The following is a 14,220-nucleotide window of genomic DNA, read 5'->3' on the forward strand; positions in this document are numbered from 1 at the left end:
CTGACAGAAAGATGCAGCCAATCACATACCTGAAGAGGAAGGAATCAAGCAGAGGGCACAGCACATGTAAAGGTCCTGAAGGGAGAATGAGCTTGAATGTGTGAGGAGCAGCCACTGACCGGTTGATTTTCCTTGGGCAAGTTATTATGTTTCTCTGGGCCTCGTTTTTCTTATTCCTGAAAATGACAATAACACTTTCTATACAAGACCTGGCATATGATAAGCACTCAGTAAATGTTTGTGGAATAAATGACATTGATTCCATTCTTTGTTTATTTCACCCTTTGCTCAGGATCATGTCTAAATGGGTTATTCAGGCAATTTTCTGTTCTCGGGGTTCTCCCTTCTACCAATTAAAAAAACAAACAAAAACAAATTCAAGTTGCATTGACTCAAGTGCCTTACCCAAAGCAGTTGTCAAGGTGTAAAGTTGTGCTCAGGCAGGGCATCTGAATTTCTCTCCCTGTCGTTCATCCAACAGTCTGGATTTGCTTCCTGAATATTTGCTGTCTTAAACAGTCTCCCTCCAGATGCAGGGCATTAATTCCAAATTGGCTCCCCATACTTTCCCGTCAGAGGTTGTCATTTGCGGAGCGGGTGATGGAAGGACTGAGTGATGGAGGGCAGTCCCTTCAGAGCCCATCAGCTTTATTCTCAAAGCAGACACTGAAAAATGTGAGGCTGCTGCCAAGCCACAGGGCTCAGGGAGTATCCGCTGTCTCCACACAAAGGCTGAAATAATGAGAATCCTCTGGTCGGTATCATGTAGCAGTCTAAGTAGGACACAATAACCCCATTTACAATGTTAATAACAATAGGCTGCATCAATAGGTTGTTATTCAACAACACTAGCATGTCAATAAAACCTTTTTACATCCATTTAACACATATTAAGCACCCACTGTGTGCCACACAAGCTACCAGGTTCTGAGGTTAGAGAAATAGATAACACAAGCCTTGATGAGACTTACATTTGAAAAAGGAACGTCATGATGTCAGGTATCAAGAGCTTAGAAAACTAAGGCAGAGAAAGTGATTAGGAGGCATAGAAAGAGCTGGGGGCCAGTTTAGACTGAGTGGGTGTGGTCAGGGAAGACATCCCAGGAGGTGACCCCTGAGCAGAGACCTGACTACAATGAGGGAGAACCGAAGGAGACCATGAAGGAGTGGGGAGACCTAACTACTATGCAGGTATCTGAAGGAGAGGGATCCAGACAGAGCAGGGAGAAACCAGGGCTCCACAGTAAGGGAAAGTAGAGGTCTCTCTCAATACAGTCAAGTTTTAGTCATCTCCTACTGCGTCTCCTACCTGGAGAACATTCCTGCCCTATAATAGGATTTCTCAACATTGTTACTATTGACATTTGGGGTAGATAATTCTTTGTTGTGGGGGCTTGTTTCTGTGCACCATAGGATGTTTAGCAACGTCTCGGACCTCTGCCTATCAGATGCCAGTAGCACCCACCCACCTACTTAAGATAGCTAAGGTCCCTTTGCCCAGCACCTCTCTGGCCTCCTGCTTCACTGCTTTAACTCTTTGCAGATGCTACCAGCTCTAGGTCAGGCATGACAGATCCATCTTGCCAGCTATGCTGTAGACTTCTTGCTATCAGTGACCCTGATTGCACATACATGTTAAGATACAGGTGAAGGAGGACTTACAAGAAGCTAATGAGACTTATTAAAGTTTCAGGGCCCCTCTCTTATATGGGCCCTGTCCACTGCTCTTTTCCTAATTTTGTACTCATAATTTTGTACCTGTTTTTCTTTCTTTCTTCTTCTTTCTTTTTTTTTTTTTTTTTTTTTGGAGTTTCACTTTGTTGCCCAGGCTAGAGTGCAATGGCATGAACTTGTCTCACTGCAACCTCCACCTCCTGGGTTCAAGCAATTCTCCTGCCTCAGCCTTCCAAGTAGCTGGGATTATAGGCATGCGCTACCATGCCCGGCTAATTTTGTATTTTTAATAGAGACGGGGTTTCTCCATGTTGGTCAGGCTGGTCTCGAACTCCCGACCTCAGGTGATCTGCCCACCTTGGCCTCCCAAAATGTTGGGATTACAGGCGGGAGCCATCGTGCCTGGTCCCATTTTTCTTAAAGTGGATCTCCAAAACATGTAAGCTCCAGAACCCACAAAACCTGGCTCCATCTCTGGGCAGTCATCTGAACATAGTTCATGCAATCTACAGCGAGACTATTATCAGTGTGGTGGGTGTCAGCATTTCACATGCCCCGCTCTCCAACCTAGCTCATATCACTCACCCCTGACTGCCTTCCTCTTCCTGAAATATGCCATTTTATTTCATTTTGATGGTAGTAGTGCAGTGGGACAGGGGAGAGACTTGTGTTACTCATTAGAGCATGTTTTGTAAGGGAAAAGTCATATCTGTCTGGCACTGCTTTGTATCAAGCACAGTGCCTGGTACTGGTATGTGGAGGGCACTTAATAATTAGTTTTTATTAAATTCATAAAACAGCAAAGCCTAACATGTACTGATTACTAATCAGTGGTTTTCAAAGTGTGGTTCCTGGACCAGTAGCAGCAGTGGCATTTGCTAACTAGTTAGAAATGCAAATTATCAGGCCCTACCATAGACCTACCAAATCAGAAATGCCGGGATGGGGCCCAGAATTCTGTATTTTCACAAGTCCTCTGGGTGAGTTTAAGGATGCTAAAGTCTGAGAACTATTCTAACAGATAGTGGCAGGTTTTTACATATGCTATTCTATATAATCCTCCAAGAGAAATTCTCCAAGGTAAACATTATCATCATTATTATTACTATCTCACAGATTTCAAGACTGAGACTCAGAAAAGTGATTTCACCTCTATTCAACACAATAAGCAAGTAGAAAAGGCAGGATTTGAGTTCTGGAGTACCTGACTTCAAAACCCATCTTCTTTCAACTATAGCACATTTCTTCTGGTGGGAGTTTCCAAAATAATTTATGTCAAATCCCTTTGCAAAACAAGTCAAAGTACTATGTGACTGTGTGACAGTTTTATTAATAGCAATAGTAATAACCGCCATCATAATGAATATGTTCGGGCATGTTCCTATTGTGCTCGGCCTGAGAATGGTGATATCCTGACATGGCTTTTTGGGGACCCTTCTGAAAGGGTTAATCCACCTCCCAGAAGCCCTGACTTCCTCCCAGTGAGTCACTCAGGCACAGAGGAGCCCAGGTACGTGGGTGTAATAACACACGCAGAGCAGCAGGCACGCACACACGTGCGCATCCCTACCGGGAGTGAAATGAAAATAGAAACGGAAAGCAAGACCCCTTCCCTTGGTGCCTATCTCTCCCTGTCACCTGTCATCAATCTTAGAGACCACATTTCTGTGGGCAAATGAGATTCTCTCAATCTATCGCATGTGGCTTTTTGGAACACTGGTCGAATGTCTAGCAGTGCACTTTCTGTGAATGCTTTGTGTCCTGTATGGGTTTTACCATCAGGCACTGAAGTCTGTGGTTGGAGAAAGAATAATACAAAGAAAAGCAGAAAAGTAAGATAACTGGCTATTTATATCTGCTCTGTCGGAAGTGGTGACAGGTATAATTACTGAGTAGAAATTACAGGGCTGATTCCAGTGGTGTTCCTCCTGCTGTTTTCGGGAAGATAAAAGATTGAAAGTGTTCCTGACATCTCCTCAAAGAGAGGGTGCTTCGGCATGCACTTCCATTTATTTTCAGATTGATTAAAAGCAATTTCATGTTGTTCGTAGTTGAACTAAGATGCCTTCCTGGTCCCCTCAAATCAGTGAAACCTCTTTGTCGGGGGAGCTCTTTCCTGAGCTCCACTCTCCCTCCATTAGCCCCCTCCCCCCAGGACTTGTGTCCAGGGTCTTTCCTATCAAGAGAAAAATAAGCTATTAAATAAATTCACATGAAAGTGTTACTGATTTAATGGACTATGATCCCAGGGGTATTTACAATTAAAAAGCAAAGGAACATAAGGTAAAATCCCATGACATTAAAGCTGCAAGGAGCTTAAAAATGATCTAACTTTTTCTCAAACTGAACCAATTAGCACAATTACCTATTCCCTGTGGACACTGATCTTTCCCCAGAACCCACCCAGGCTTCATGAGTCAGACTCTCCTGGGGTCACACGTGGGAATTTGTAATTTTCTGAAGCCCCCTGGGCCATTTTGGTCACTAGACAGGTTTAGGGAGCCCCTTAATTCACAGGTGGAGGAAATGAACAGAGCAGAGAACAGACAAGTGTCAAGAGAGTGGGAGGCACTGGGCTACAAATGTGAGGGGTGCCAAAAAGCCCAGTCATCAGATAAATAATATTCTAACACAATAGTTTAAAACCATCAAATTTAATGCCAAAAAATCCATGATGAAGAAAATATCAATTTTAAATAAAGACAGATCTGTATCATTGATTTTTTTTTTTTCTTATTTCTCAGGCTTCAGTAGGGCTCAACCTGGCACCATTACTGATTATTTGCTTTAAATACTGCTTCACAATATTATTTATCTTGATTATCTTGAGGAGTTTTTTTGGTGCCACCTAAATTTTACACCCAAGGGAAGTACCTCCCTCACCTCACCATTTATTTGGGCAAATACTGAAATGTAATGGCTGTGATGACATATACAACCTGTAGAAGTGATTTGTTTTAAAGTAGGGAGATTTAATGTTTTTATAAATTACACCTAACTGTGAAAAATCTGATTTTTTTTTTCAATAGGCCCTTTATGATATCAACTGGCTAAAGCTGAGTGGCTGCTGTTCCCTTTGCCACTGGGCAAGGACATTTTGACACAGGCAACACCACCTCTCCTGTGTCTGCCCTAACTGGCCTGTGGGCATGTGATTTTTGTGATCCCCGATATAGCAGAAGACAACACACAGGAGCCGTGGAAGGATAGTGCTTAGTGCATTGCAGCCATTTATTCAACAGCTACAGATAGGTATGTATACTTTCAATAGGATAAACTCTAACCAAACAAGGCCTCTCTGATATCATGGAACATCACCTCTGCCTCGCTCCTTCCTTCCATTTCTTGCCCCGACATGCAAGTTCCATCTTACCCCAAGCTCTGAAACCAATATTTTCAAGTGGGGAAATTAACGACAAGGAAGGTAGCCAATTCTGTTATACATGGGTTTGTTTCCTTTATTGAACTTGTACCTGCAAACTTCCAACTCAGTGTCTGAATTTTCTGGAAGTGGAGAATTGGCTTAGACTTTTTTCCTGGTTCCTAATTCCTTCCCCTTTGTTTCTATGCCTGGGGCCTCAGCACTCCAGGTACTGGGTGTTCCTGTCATGTGGATACTGGAGATTTGGCCCTGGCCCTTCAAGCTGTTGCCAGACATTTATGGAGTGCTTTTGGGATGCAAGGCACCAGTGCTACAACATTTTACACGACGGAATTGCTACCTTTGTGGAGATTTTAATCCATGGGGAGATGAATTAATACATAGGGTCTCACCATAGTGACTCACTGTATTCTCCAACAAACTCTTTTTGCTAACTTCTCTCAGAGCTTGCAAACTCAAGTGCCTACAGGGCAGGGCATAGGGCATAGTGCAAATTAATGAAGGAAGCTAAAAGTAAAATGAAAGATGATATTAGGTACCGTAGAGAAATAGAGTACTTTCCCCATTGATGACATTCAAGTTCCACATAAAAAATATGTGGAGACCAAGCAAGATACATTTGCTGAATTTTGCTTCAGAGTCACCACTTTGAAACCCCTGCCTAGAGCCTTACTTCTTGCTGTAGCTTTGGCTGTGCTTCCCTGACCCTGGTCTGCTGGTTCTGCTGACCCCCTCCTGTTACATCTTCCCCACAGCCAGCAGCTGGCTTTTCCCCAAGCAACTCACCTATCCCAATATCCAGGCAGCCCTAGACCTGACTGTAGATCAAGTCTCCAAGCCAACCAACACCAGCCCCATGGTAGGTATCATTAAATTTTGTTGTGCTATGGATGAGTTTGGCAGGATGATGAAGCCATGGACCCATTCTCATAGCAATGTTCCTAACACTTTAATTAAAAGACATGATTACAATGGAAATCAAATATATTGAAATATAGATGTAAATCTTAAAAATAATAAATTTGAAAATGGTAATATGTGTACTGCCTTATTAATGAGTTCAGTAACAAGGTTTAGTAGTTTGTCTATAACTACATACTGGTAGTATATTCATAGACATAGACACACTGCTATGACATACTGGTATGTCTATAGGCATACTACCAGTGTGTAGTTATAGACATACTACTGAACTTGTCATTCATTTCAAAGTAGCTCTGAACATAAAAAAAAGTTGAGATAACTGCAATATGATATAAAAATATCTGTGATTTCTATTGGTAGAATACTGCCAGTGGTACTAAGGCCTATTGTTTATATTCATAATTGAAGGAAATCTAAATTTCAGTTAGAGATGAATAAAATTAAAGCTGTAATATTGTTGCCATTTCAGTTCATGGGCCTCTGAAATTCTACCTAAGATGCTTTGGAGGTCCGTGGAAAAGAAACTTTGACCTAAAACAACAATTCCCAAAGTGTGCTACAAGGCACTGCAGACCTTCGGAGCCCAAAAAAACATCAGGCACATTGGCAATGCTGACTTCAGTTTTCTTTGAATTAGACTAAAGGTGACCAGTGGGATGTTAAATAAATAACATAGTTGTAGCATTCTCATACACTGTTTGTGAGAGTATAAATTGGTAAACCTTGATCGTTTGGCTTTGTGCTCCAAAAGGCTTCAATGATGCCAAAGGCCGTTTGAGCCAGCAATTCCACTTCTAGCATTTATTCCAAGAAACCAATGAGATATGTGTGCAAAGCTTAAAACACAAAAATGTTCATACCCAGCTGTGCAAGAAATAGTATTCTGTCAATAAATTATGTAAATTCGTGATTATTGATATAAAAATAGGACAAACATGAAGTAAAAGCAGTATGAGGCAAATAAAAATAATTTCATATGCATATATTTACACAGAAAAAAGTTTGGAAGGATATACACTAACTCTTTCCTAGTGGTACTTTCTGGTGATTTAATGATCCTTTGGTCTATTCATTTTCCTATGATTTTTTTTTCTTGCAATGAAAGTAAATAAATAGAAAAAATTGTGGAAGGGAGCATAAATGTTGTCATATTGAGTACTTATTTACTCTGTTTTGGGAGATATTTCCTGAGAAAAATTTCTGTGTATATATATTCTTATCATTCAAAAGCTAGGTGCCAATCATTATTCTAGATACTAAGGATGCAAAATTGAATAAGATAAACAAGGTGCTTTATCTCATGGAATTTACTTTTCAGTGCAGAAGGCAGACAATTATCTAACCAGCACATGCATAAACAACAATGTATTGGGCAGAGATAAATGCCTTGAAAAAAAAAAAAAAACAAGTTGAGGCAATAAGGAATAGATGAGGCAAGGAAGATGTCTCTAAGTTGACAGCCAGGCCTTTCATGGAAGTAAAATGTAAGTAGAAAGACAGCAAGAGCCAGCCCTAATTAGATCTGGACTAGGGAGGAGGAAAGCAGATTCAAGATTCTAGGGCAGGAATGAACTTGGTATATTTGATGAAGAGAAAGAAGATCAGCATGTCTAGAATGCTGTGGAAGAGGCAGAAAATGGCACCAGATGACAATTGGAGTAGTCAAGAGCCAAATTAGCTAGGGTCTTGAGACTATGATAAAGAGTTTGGATGCTATTCTGTGTGGTAGATGGAAATAGTGCTCAAAATTATTTGCTCCATCTACAAATAACTCATAAAAAAATCATACCCTTGAGAGAACCCCATGGTGGGAAGAAGAGAGAGCCTCTTGAATTTGGGCTTAGCCATGTGACCTCCTTGGGCCAATGGCCTGTTGGCAGACATGACACAACACAGGACTTTGAAATGTGCTTGTGCAATTGGATTTGCTCTTGGGCTTCTGCCATTGCCATGAGAAGAATACACTTGAGGTGGCCCACTGGCCCCAAAAGAAGGAGAGACATGCCAAGCAGACCTGAACCAAACCTACAGCCTGGAACCAAGCCCAGTTTAGTCCAATCAAGATCTGCAGAACTACTCATCCAACTCACAAGCATGTGAGTGAGAAGAAATGGATGTCACTTTAAGTCGCTGAACTATGGGGTAGTTTGTTACGCAACATTATTGCCCCAATAGCTGATTAATACAAGGAGCAATGGGAAGGTACTGAAGGTTATTAAGCAGAGCACTGGCAAGATCTGATTTACATTTTAAAAATTAATTTGGCTGCTGTGTGAAGAATGGATTGCAAAGGTAAGAGTAGAAATAGGGGGAACAACTGAAAACCTAATATGTTTGTCCTGGTAAGAGATGATGACAGTGCAATTTATTGCAATGGCAATGACCAGGAAAGGAGAAACTAAAACAGCAGGAGAGGGTCCTTGATGACAGGTAGCCACTAATGAGTGGAAACCTAACTTTACAAGAAAGCTTACTCCACTTACAGACACCTTTAGTTGCCAGTCCCTCCCTCTGGAACTGAGATACCCTTCTTGAAGCTTTCACTCATTAATAGCGGTGTTTCCCATGGGGCCATAAAGAACAAAGTTTCTTCATCATCCATAAGATTTGCCTCTATATTTGAAAGTAGTTTGGGCTCTAGCTTCCTTCTAAAGCCTTTTCTTCTGAGTTGAACATTCATGTTCCTTTCCATCATTTCTTACATATCCATCCTCCCCTGGGTATGTGTCAGGTGGGCCATACTTCTCATATAACCTTGTAGGTGTTTATGTGTCCCATGCACTGCAAAAGCAGGTGCTGTTATGTATAATACACCTTGCAGTGTCTAGAACTATGCCCTCCACATAGGAGCAACTAGCTGAATGTTCGATAAATTGAATTAACATATTTGAAGACAGCTATTATGTCATTTTCTTAGTCTGCTCATTCCCCATTCACTTGACCTAGGTTGAGAAAGAGACTAGTTTCTCTTTCTCAAAAGAGAAAGTGACTAGTTTCTCTTTCTCAAAAGAGAAAGTGACTAGTTTCTCTTTCTCAAAAGAGAAAGTCATAAAACTGAAACTAAGCTGATATTTCACTTTGAATGAGATGTGAGAACCTAGGTAGAAATCCTAAAAATGTAGTACACTGGAGAAATTTCCCAAAATGATAAAAAGGGAGGTCAGGATATTTTTTTCCCGCAATTCCTCTCTTTTCTTTGGTTCTATTGGGAATCGTGTTGCTTTGTTACCTAGCAACACTGAGCCTGTCACTGGGCAATTTACAACTACTTCTCATTTGTCAAAATTTGCCTAATCAGATCTGATAATGAATAAAATCTGCACACAATCAACTAACTTCTGTTTGTAATTAGAATCCCTCTCCATCAGGGGAAGGACATTAATAGTCTTTCACCTTGCATGTGTTGATTTGTGTTTTTTTTTTTTTTTTGTCATTTTCTAACATGCTACCCCTCACCACTTTACATGTTTCAATCTGTTTTGATTCCCTTTGACAAAATTCCATCTTTTGTTGTGAGTTGCTATCAATCCAGGTGTCTTTGGATGAAATTTGTAGGTCATCTCTTCTTATCTGCTCTGAGCATATCATCTGTGCAAGGTGACTTAGTTTAGTGGTATACGTCTTATGTTTAACATAGCATCTTGCTTCCTTTCTAGCATGCCAACAGCTTTGCCTACTCAAGTCAATGCCATGAACATTTCTTATTATGCATCGTAGTGTACATGAGTGGTTTTGTGTGTCTATCATCACTCCCCCCTCACTCTGTTAAAATAAATCCTATTCCTTTGGGGATTCCAACCATAAAGTTATAGTTTGGGCTGAAACCCAGAATTTCTATGACCAAAGGTATATTTGGTCATAGAAACAGGCAGTAAAAAAAAAATGCCTACTATTGTAGCCTCATTTCCTGGTTACGGTCCTTGGTTCAGGATGGGCCCACTACACAAGATCAGTCTTTTGGGAGTTGTCCAAGTGAAGGCTACATAAAAGGTCTTTTTTCTTCTCATCTCTTAAAATAAAGTGATATAAGCCCAGTATTTCCTGTGGCCATATACTTTGTTGTGAGAAAAAGGGCCATCTGCAATATAGACAATACAGACAATATAGAGAATACAGCCAACATAGAAGGGCAGAGAAAAGAGGTTCAGGGTCATATAAAGACAACCAATGGAAAAGAAACAGAGAGAGAGAATAAGAGCATGAAGAGAATGAGAGGCAGAGAAAGGGAAGGGAGGGGGAGAAGAGAGGGAGAGATAGAATATGAGAGAGAATGTTGTTGGCATTTCAGCCCCTGTTTCCAGTCACTGAGGGTGCAAAGTTGCCTTCTTTGATTGTGTGATATAGATATACCAGTATTCTTCTTGTAAAGCCCGTATTTTCTTTAAGCATATTCAATTTGAGTTCTTCTCAAATCTACTTTCTTATACAATTATATAATTCATAACCCCACAAAGTTGTAAAGCAATCTTTTATTAATAAAAAGACCTTTCACATGTCCTATCTTATTGGACACTCATAACAATCCTCAACTCCTTGGAAGTAAGTTACCATGGAGGAAATTGTACCCATTTCACAGATGAAAACACAGAAGTACAGAAAAATTACTTGTTATTTGATTATACAGTTAGTGAGGACAGTACTTCTGACTCTTAGTCTAGTGTTCTGTACAATACAGCAGTTTTCTCTCCAACCACACTGCGTCCGCTAACTATGAAGCAGAGTGAGAGCAGCTGTGGAACTACAGAGGAACATATGGTTCAGTAGCTTGCCTGACACTCAAGAAATTTTATCTAATTGGGGAGATATGATGGATTCAGATACAATGGTAACTAAAAATGCAAAGATCAGCTTCATGTAGACAGAACTGAAGTAATTACTAAAGCAGTCCTGGGCTGGGGTCATCAAAAAAGAAGGAGTTCAGATAGGCAGAAAGAGGAAAAGGGCATTCTAGGTGCCAGAAACAACATGGGCAAAGGAGCAGACATGGTGTGCCGTGGGAACACATCTGGCTTGAGGAGAGAGTGTTGCCAATTTTGCCTTCTAATTATAGCTCTAACCCTTCCATTTTTCTTCTCCTCCACGGCCATCACTCTGATCCTTTCATCTTTCACCAGGACTATTGCAGTAGCCCCTAGCTATTCTTCCAACATCCTCTCTTGCATTGCAATCCACTTATTGCATTGCAACCCAAGTGATATTTGAAAAAGTCAAATCTGAGTGTCCTTGAAAAAGACCACCACTAAGTGTCCTCTGCTCACCAAGCTCCAGCCACACTGACTGTCTTCCAGGTGATACAAAGCATCCAGCCCTCTCTGGCCACAGGGAATCTACACTGATTGATTTCTCTGCCTGCAATGTTTCTCTCTCTGTATTCATTTCTTCATTCATTTATTCAAAGAATAATAATTGATTTTTATGCACCAGAGAGGCAGGCTTAAGACAGTCATTAAGAACAAGGATTATGAAACCAAATTGCTATGTTGAAACCTGGTTCTGAGACTTACCTCCTGTGTGACCTTTAGCAAGTTCTTGAGATTCTGTTTCCATTGTATTGTAATCTCATGTGGCTGAAGCTTAAATGAGTATAAAGCAAGGCAGATATCAACAATGAACATAGAAAGGGCTGTATGAGTTTTTGTCATAATTATTGTAGCTGAATTCTACCTACTTTCAGGATGTTCGGGTAGATGTATGTTCCTTCTCTAAGCCCTAGGACTAGGCTAGGCCAACACTCTCTGAACTCACTCTGTTTTTCATTTATTAAACTCATTTTACTTTAGTCCCTTTTTCTTGTTGGATTATAAATCCCACAAAGGCAAGAATCACATCTATTTTGCTCACCAATTTACTGAAATGTTCTAGTATAATGGCTGGTTCAGAATAGGAGTTAAATCTATTATTTATTTTTGAGAAAATCAAGATCAAAATGATCATTTCTGTGAAAGCTATGAAAAACAAATTGGGATTTCACCTGTGTACAATGGTGCTTTTCTGAATTTGGAAAAGATATGGGGACTATTTCACTTTAGGGAGTTTGATACCCATAGCACTTGCATCTTAAAGGTGATCTTGCCAGCCCTTGGTAACACCTGAAAGAGTGATAATCCAAACAGCTTCCGAGATGTTTGCCTCCCCCATCTGAGGACATCTGGGTCAACCTGTGACTCATGTTAATGGGAGGGATATGACAGGGGCCCATTGAGACCAAGGCCTTATAAAATATTACAAAAGATATCATGAAAGCCAGGCCAAGGCATGAGGACCTATACTCACAGGAAGGGCCAGGTGGATTTTTAAATGTTAGAGCAAAATAGCCTCACTGTTTCCAGGCAGAGGGCATAGCAGCTTAAAAAATGAGACTGAAAGGCATTTAAATGGGACTCAGGGACCATAAATCACCTAGGAGGGAGCAAACAGAAAGACTCACGTTGCTCTCACTCTTATGCCCCACAATCAGGATGGAGCCCATTAAACCTCCGACTCAATTACAGCCATTTCTTGCATGTAATGTTGCCCAGATAAAAAGATCTTCTTGGTGATAGGAAAGTATGTGCCTTGCTATGGACTAATGAAAATTCCATGATTGGAAGCTAATACACCTGCTATGTTCCCCTCATCTGCTGCACAGCATTCATTCATCAGACAACAATTTGCCCACTGCCCCCTAGGCCACATGTGGGTGCTGGAAATGGCATGGTGAGCTCATTCTCCTTGGGAATGTCATATTATCATTAGATGCTTAGACATGTGAAGGGAGGGAAGCCCAGCTGGTCCTAAGCTACGGCCACAGCAAGGCTCAAAGAAGGTTGGAACTGATCTGACAAATTAATTACTTAAAATCATTGGGATATCTTAAACTACTGAGAAGTCTCCTGGGAAAGAGACATTCAGTTAAACAACAAATCAAGCCCCAGTGAGTAGAGGGGAGTGGGCAATTCTTAACATAATGCGCATCCTCCACCAACTTTGTGTTCTCATCCAGCCCACCGTGGACCCATGCCTGAGTCCCTAGGAAGGGAGTGGGGAAATGGTGTGAGTCAAAACTGAAAGAAGAGTGTTCACTAAAACTCTAAGCCTTTGAGGCACAGGCAGTATTTCCTTTATTCCCATGTCACTGAAGTCTTGTAGAAGCCCTCTCCATCTGAGCCATTACTTGGTCCAGCACATCCAGAGAATCAGTGATTACAGCCCTTGGGCACCTCCTGGGAGCTGGAGCACCTAAGGTAAGGTACACCACAGAGACTGCTGCAGTGACTTGGGAAAAGGCCTATGAGCCGTGCTGTGTTGGTAAATGTGTAACAACTGGCTCTTCTGGAAAAGAAAATTTGTATGTGTATATGGAAAACATAAGTTCAATAAAAGTGTTATATATATATTAAGAATGCATCATACAATTTATAATTAATAAAAAAATACAATATTCTTTACAATAAATTCTATATAGCCAGTTAATCCTCACAAAATGCATTTGTTTGATTTTTGTGGAACTGTTGTTTCCGTAACCAACTTATGATTGTAGTTGACAAATGACTGCAGTTCTGAGCTGAATATTAGTTGTTATTTTCCTTATGCTAATGAGTAAAATGAAAGTGAAACAAGCAAGAAAAAACCTTAAGAGTAAGAACTTCACTCATTTGTTAATAACTGTTTCTTTAATGAATTGGATCATAGTTTTTGAATATTAGAAGAATATTTCCTCAAATTGTTAAATTTTATTCACCATGTAATGACTATATACATGATACACTTATAATCTTCATTATTGACATTTTCTTTATCATTTTAAGTCAAGACAATCAATGAAACAATAAATCAAGCCCTGATTTGTAGAGTTTGCCAGTTTCCATGATGAATTTACTCCCAGCATTGCCAATTTCAAGCTACCAATGTGATGTCACTGGATGTAAAATAGGGAGTGCAATGCACTGCACACTACTCTACAGTTTAATATTGTCACGGAGAAACAACCAACATATATAACCTCAGGGGCATAGATAATAGTAAAACGTAGCAAAGTAATTAGGCAATGATGACTTTCAAGTATTTGTATCTTTATGTTTAGTATATTGATTTGTGAGTATATTATTTTAATTTAAATAATGACTATGCTTAACAATCCCCTTACAAAATTCCTAGAAATGTAACAATCAGCTCCAATATGAACTGGCTCTAGCACACTGCTGATGTGGCAGACATGGAGGTATGCTAGCTACTCAGACCTCCTTTCAAAAGAGACTCAC

General features: G+C 40.3%; 3 annotated features.

Moving 5' to 3' along the window:
• Nucleotides 226-993: an enhancer, noted in NCBI's record as "OCT4-NANOG-H3K4me1 hESC enhancer chr5:152729354-152730121 (GRCh37/hg19 assembly coordinates)". NCBI's record gives its function as "activates a minimal SCP1, AML or CMV promoter by ChIP-STARR-seq in naive H9 embryonic stem cells {active_cell/tissue: H9 hESC(naive)}" and the evidence as "EXISTENCE:reporter gene assay evidence [ECO:0000049][PMID:30033119]".
• Nucleotides 994-1,760: an enhancer, noted in NCBI's record as "OCT4-NANOG-H3K4me1 hESC enhancer chr5:152730122-152730888 (GRCh37/hg19 assembly coordinates)". NCBI's record gives its function as "activates a minimal SCP1, AML or CMV promoter by ChIP-STARR-seq in naive H9 embryonic stem cells {active_cell/tissue: H9 hESC(naive)}" and the evidence as "EXISTENCE:reporter gene assay evidence [ECO:0000049][PMID:30033119]".
• Nucleotides 2,533-3,732: an enhancer, noted in NCBI's record as "BRD4-independent group 4 enhancer chr5:152731661-152732860 (GRCh37/hg19 assembly coordinates)". NCBI's record gives its function as "activates an origin of replication core promoter dependent on BRD2, P300/CBP, MED14 and CDK7 cofactors, and independent of BRD4, by STARR-seq in HCT116 cells {active_cell/tissue: HCT116}" and the evidence as "EXISTENCE:reporter gene assay evidence [ECO:0000049][PMID:35650434]".

This window comes from Homo sapiens, chromosome 5 (assembly GCF_000001405.40).
Source record: "Homo sapiens chromosome 5, GRCh38.p14 Primary Assembly".
NCBI lineage: Eukaryota > Metazoa > Chordata > Mammalia > Primates > Hominidae > Homo > Homo sapiens.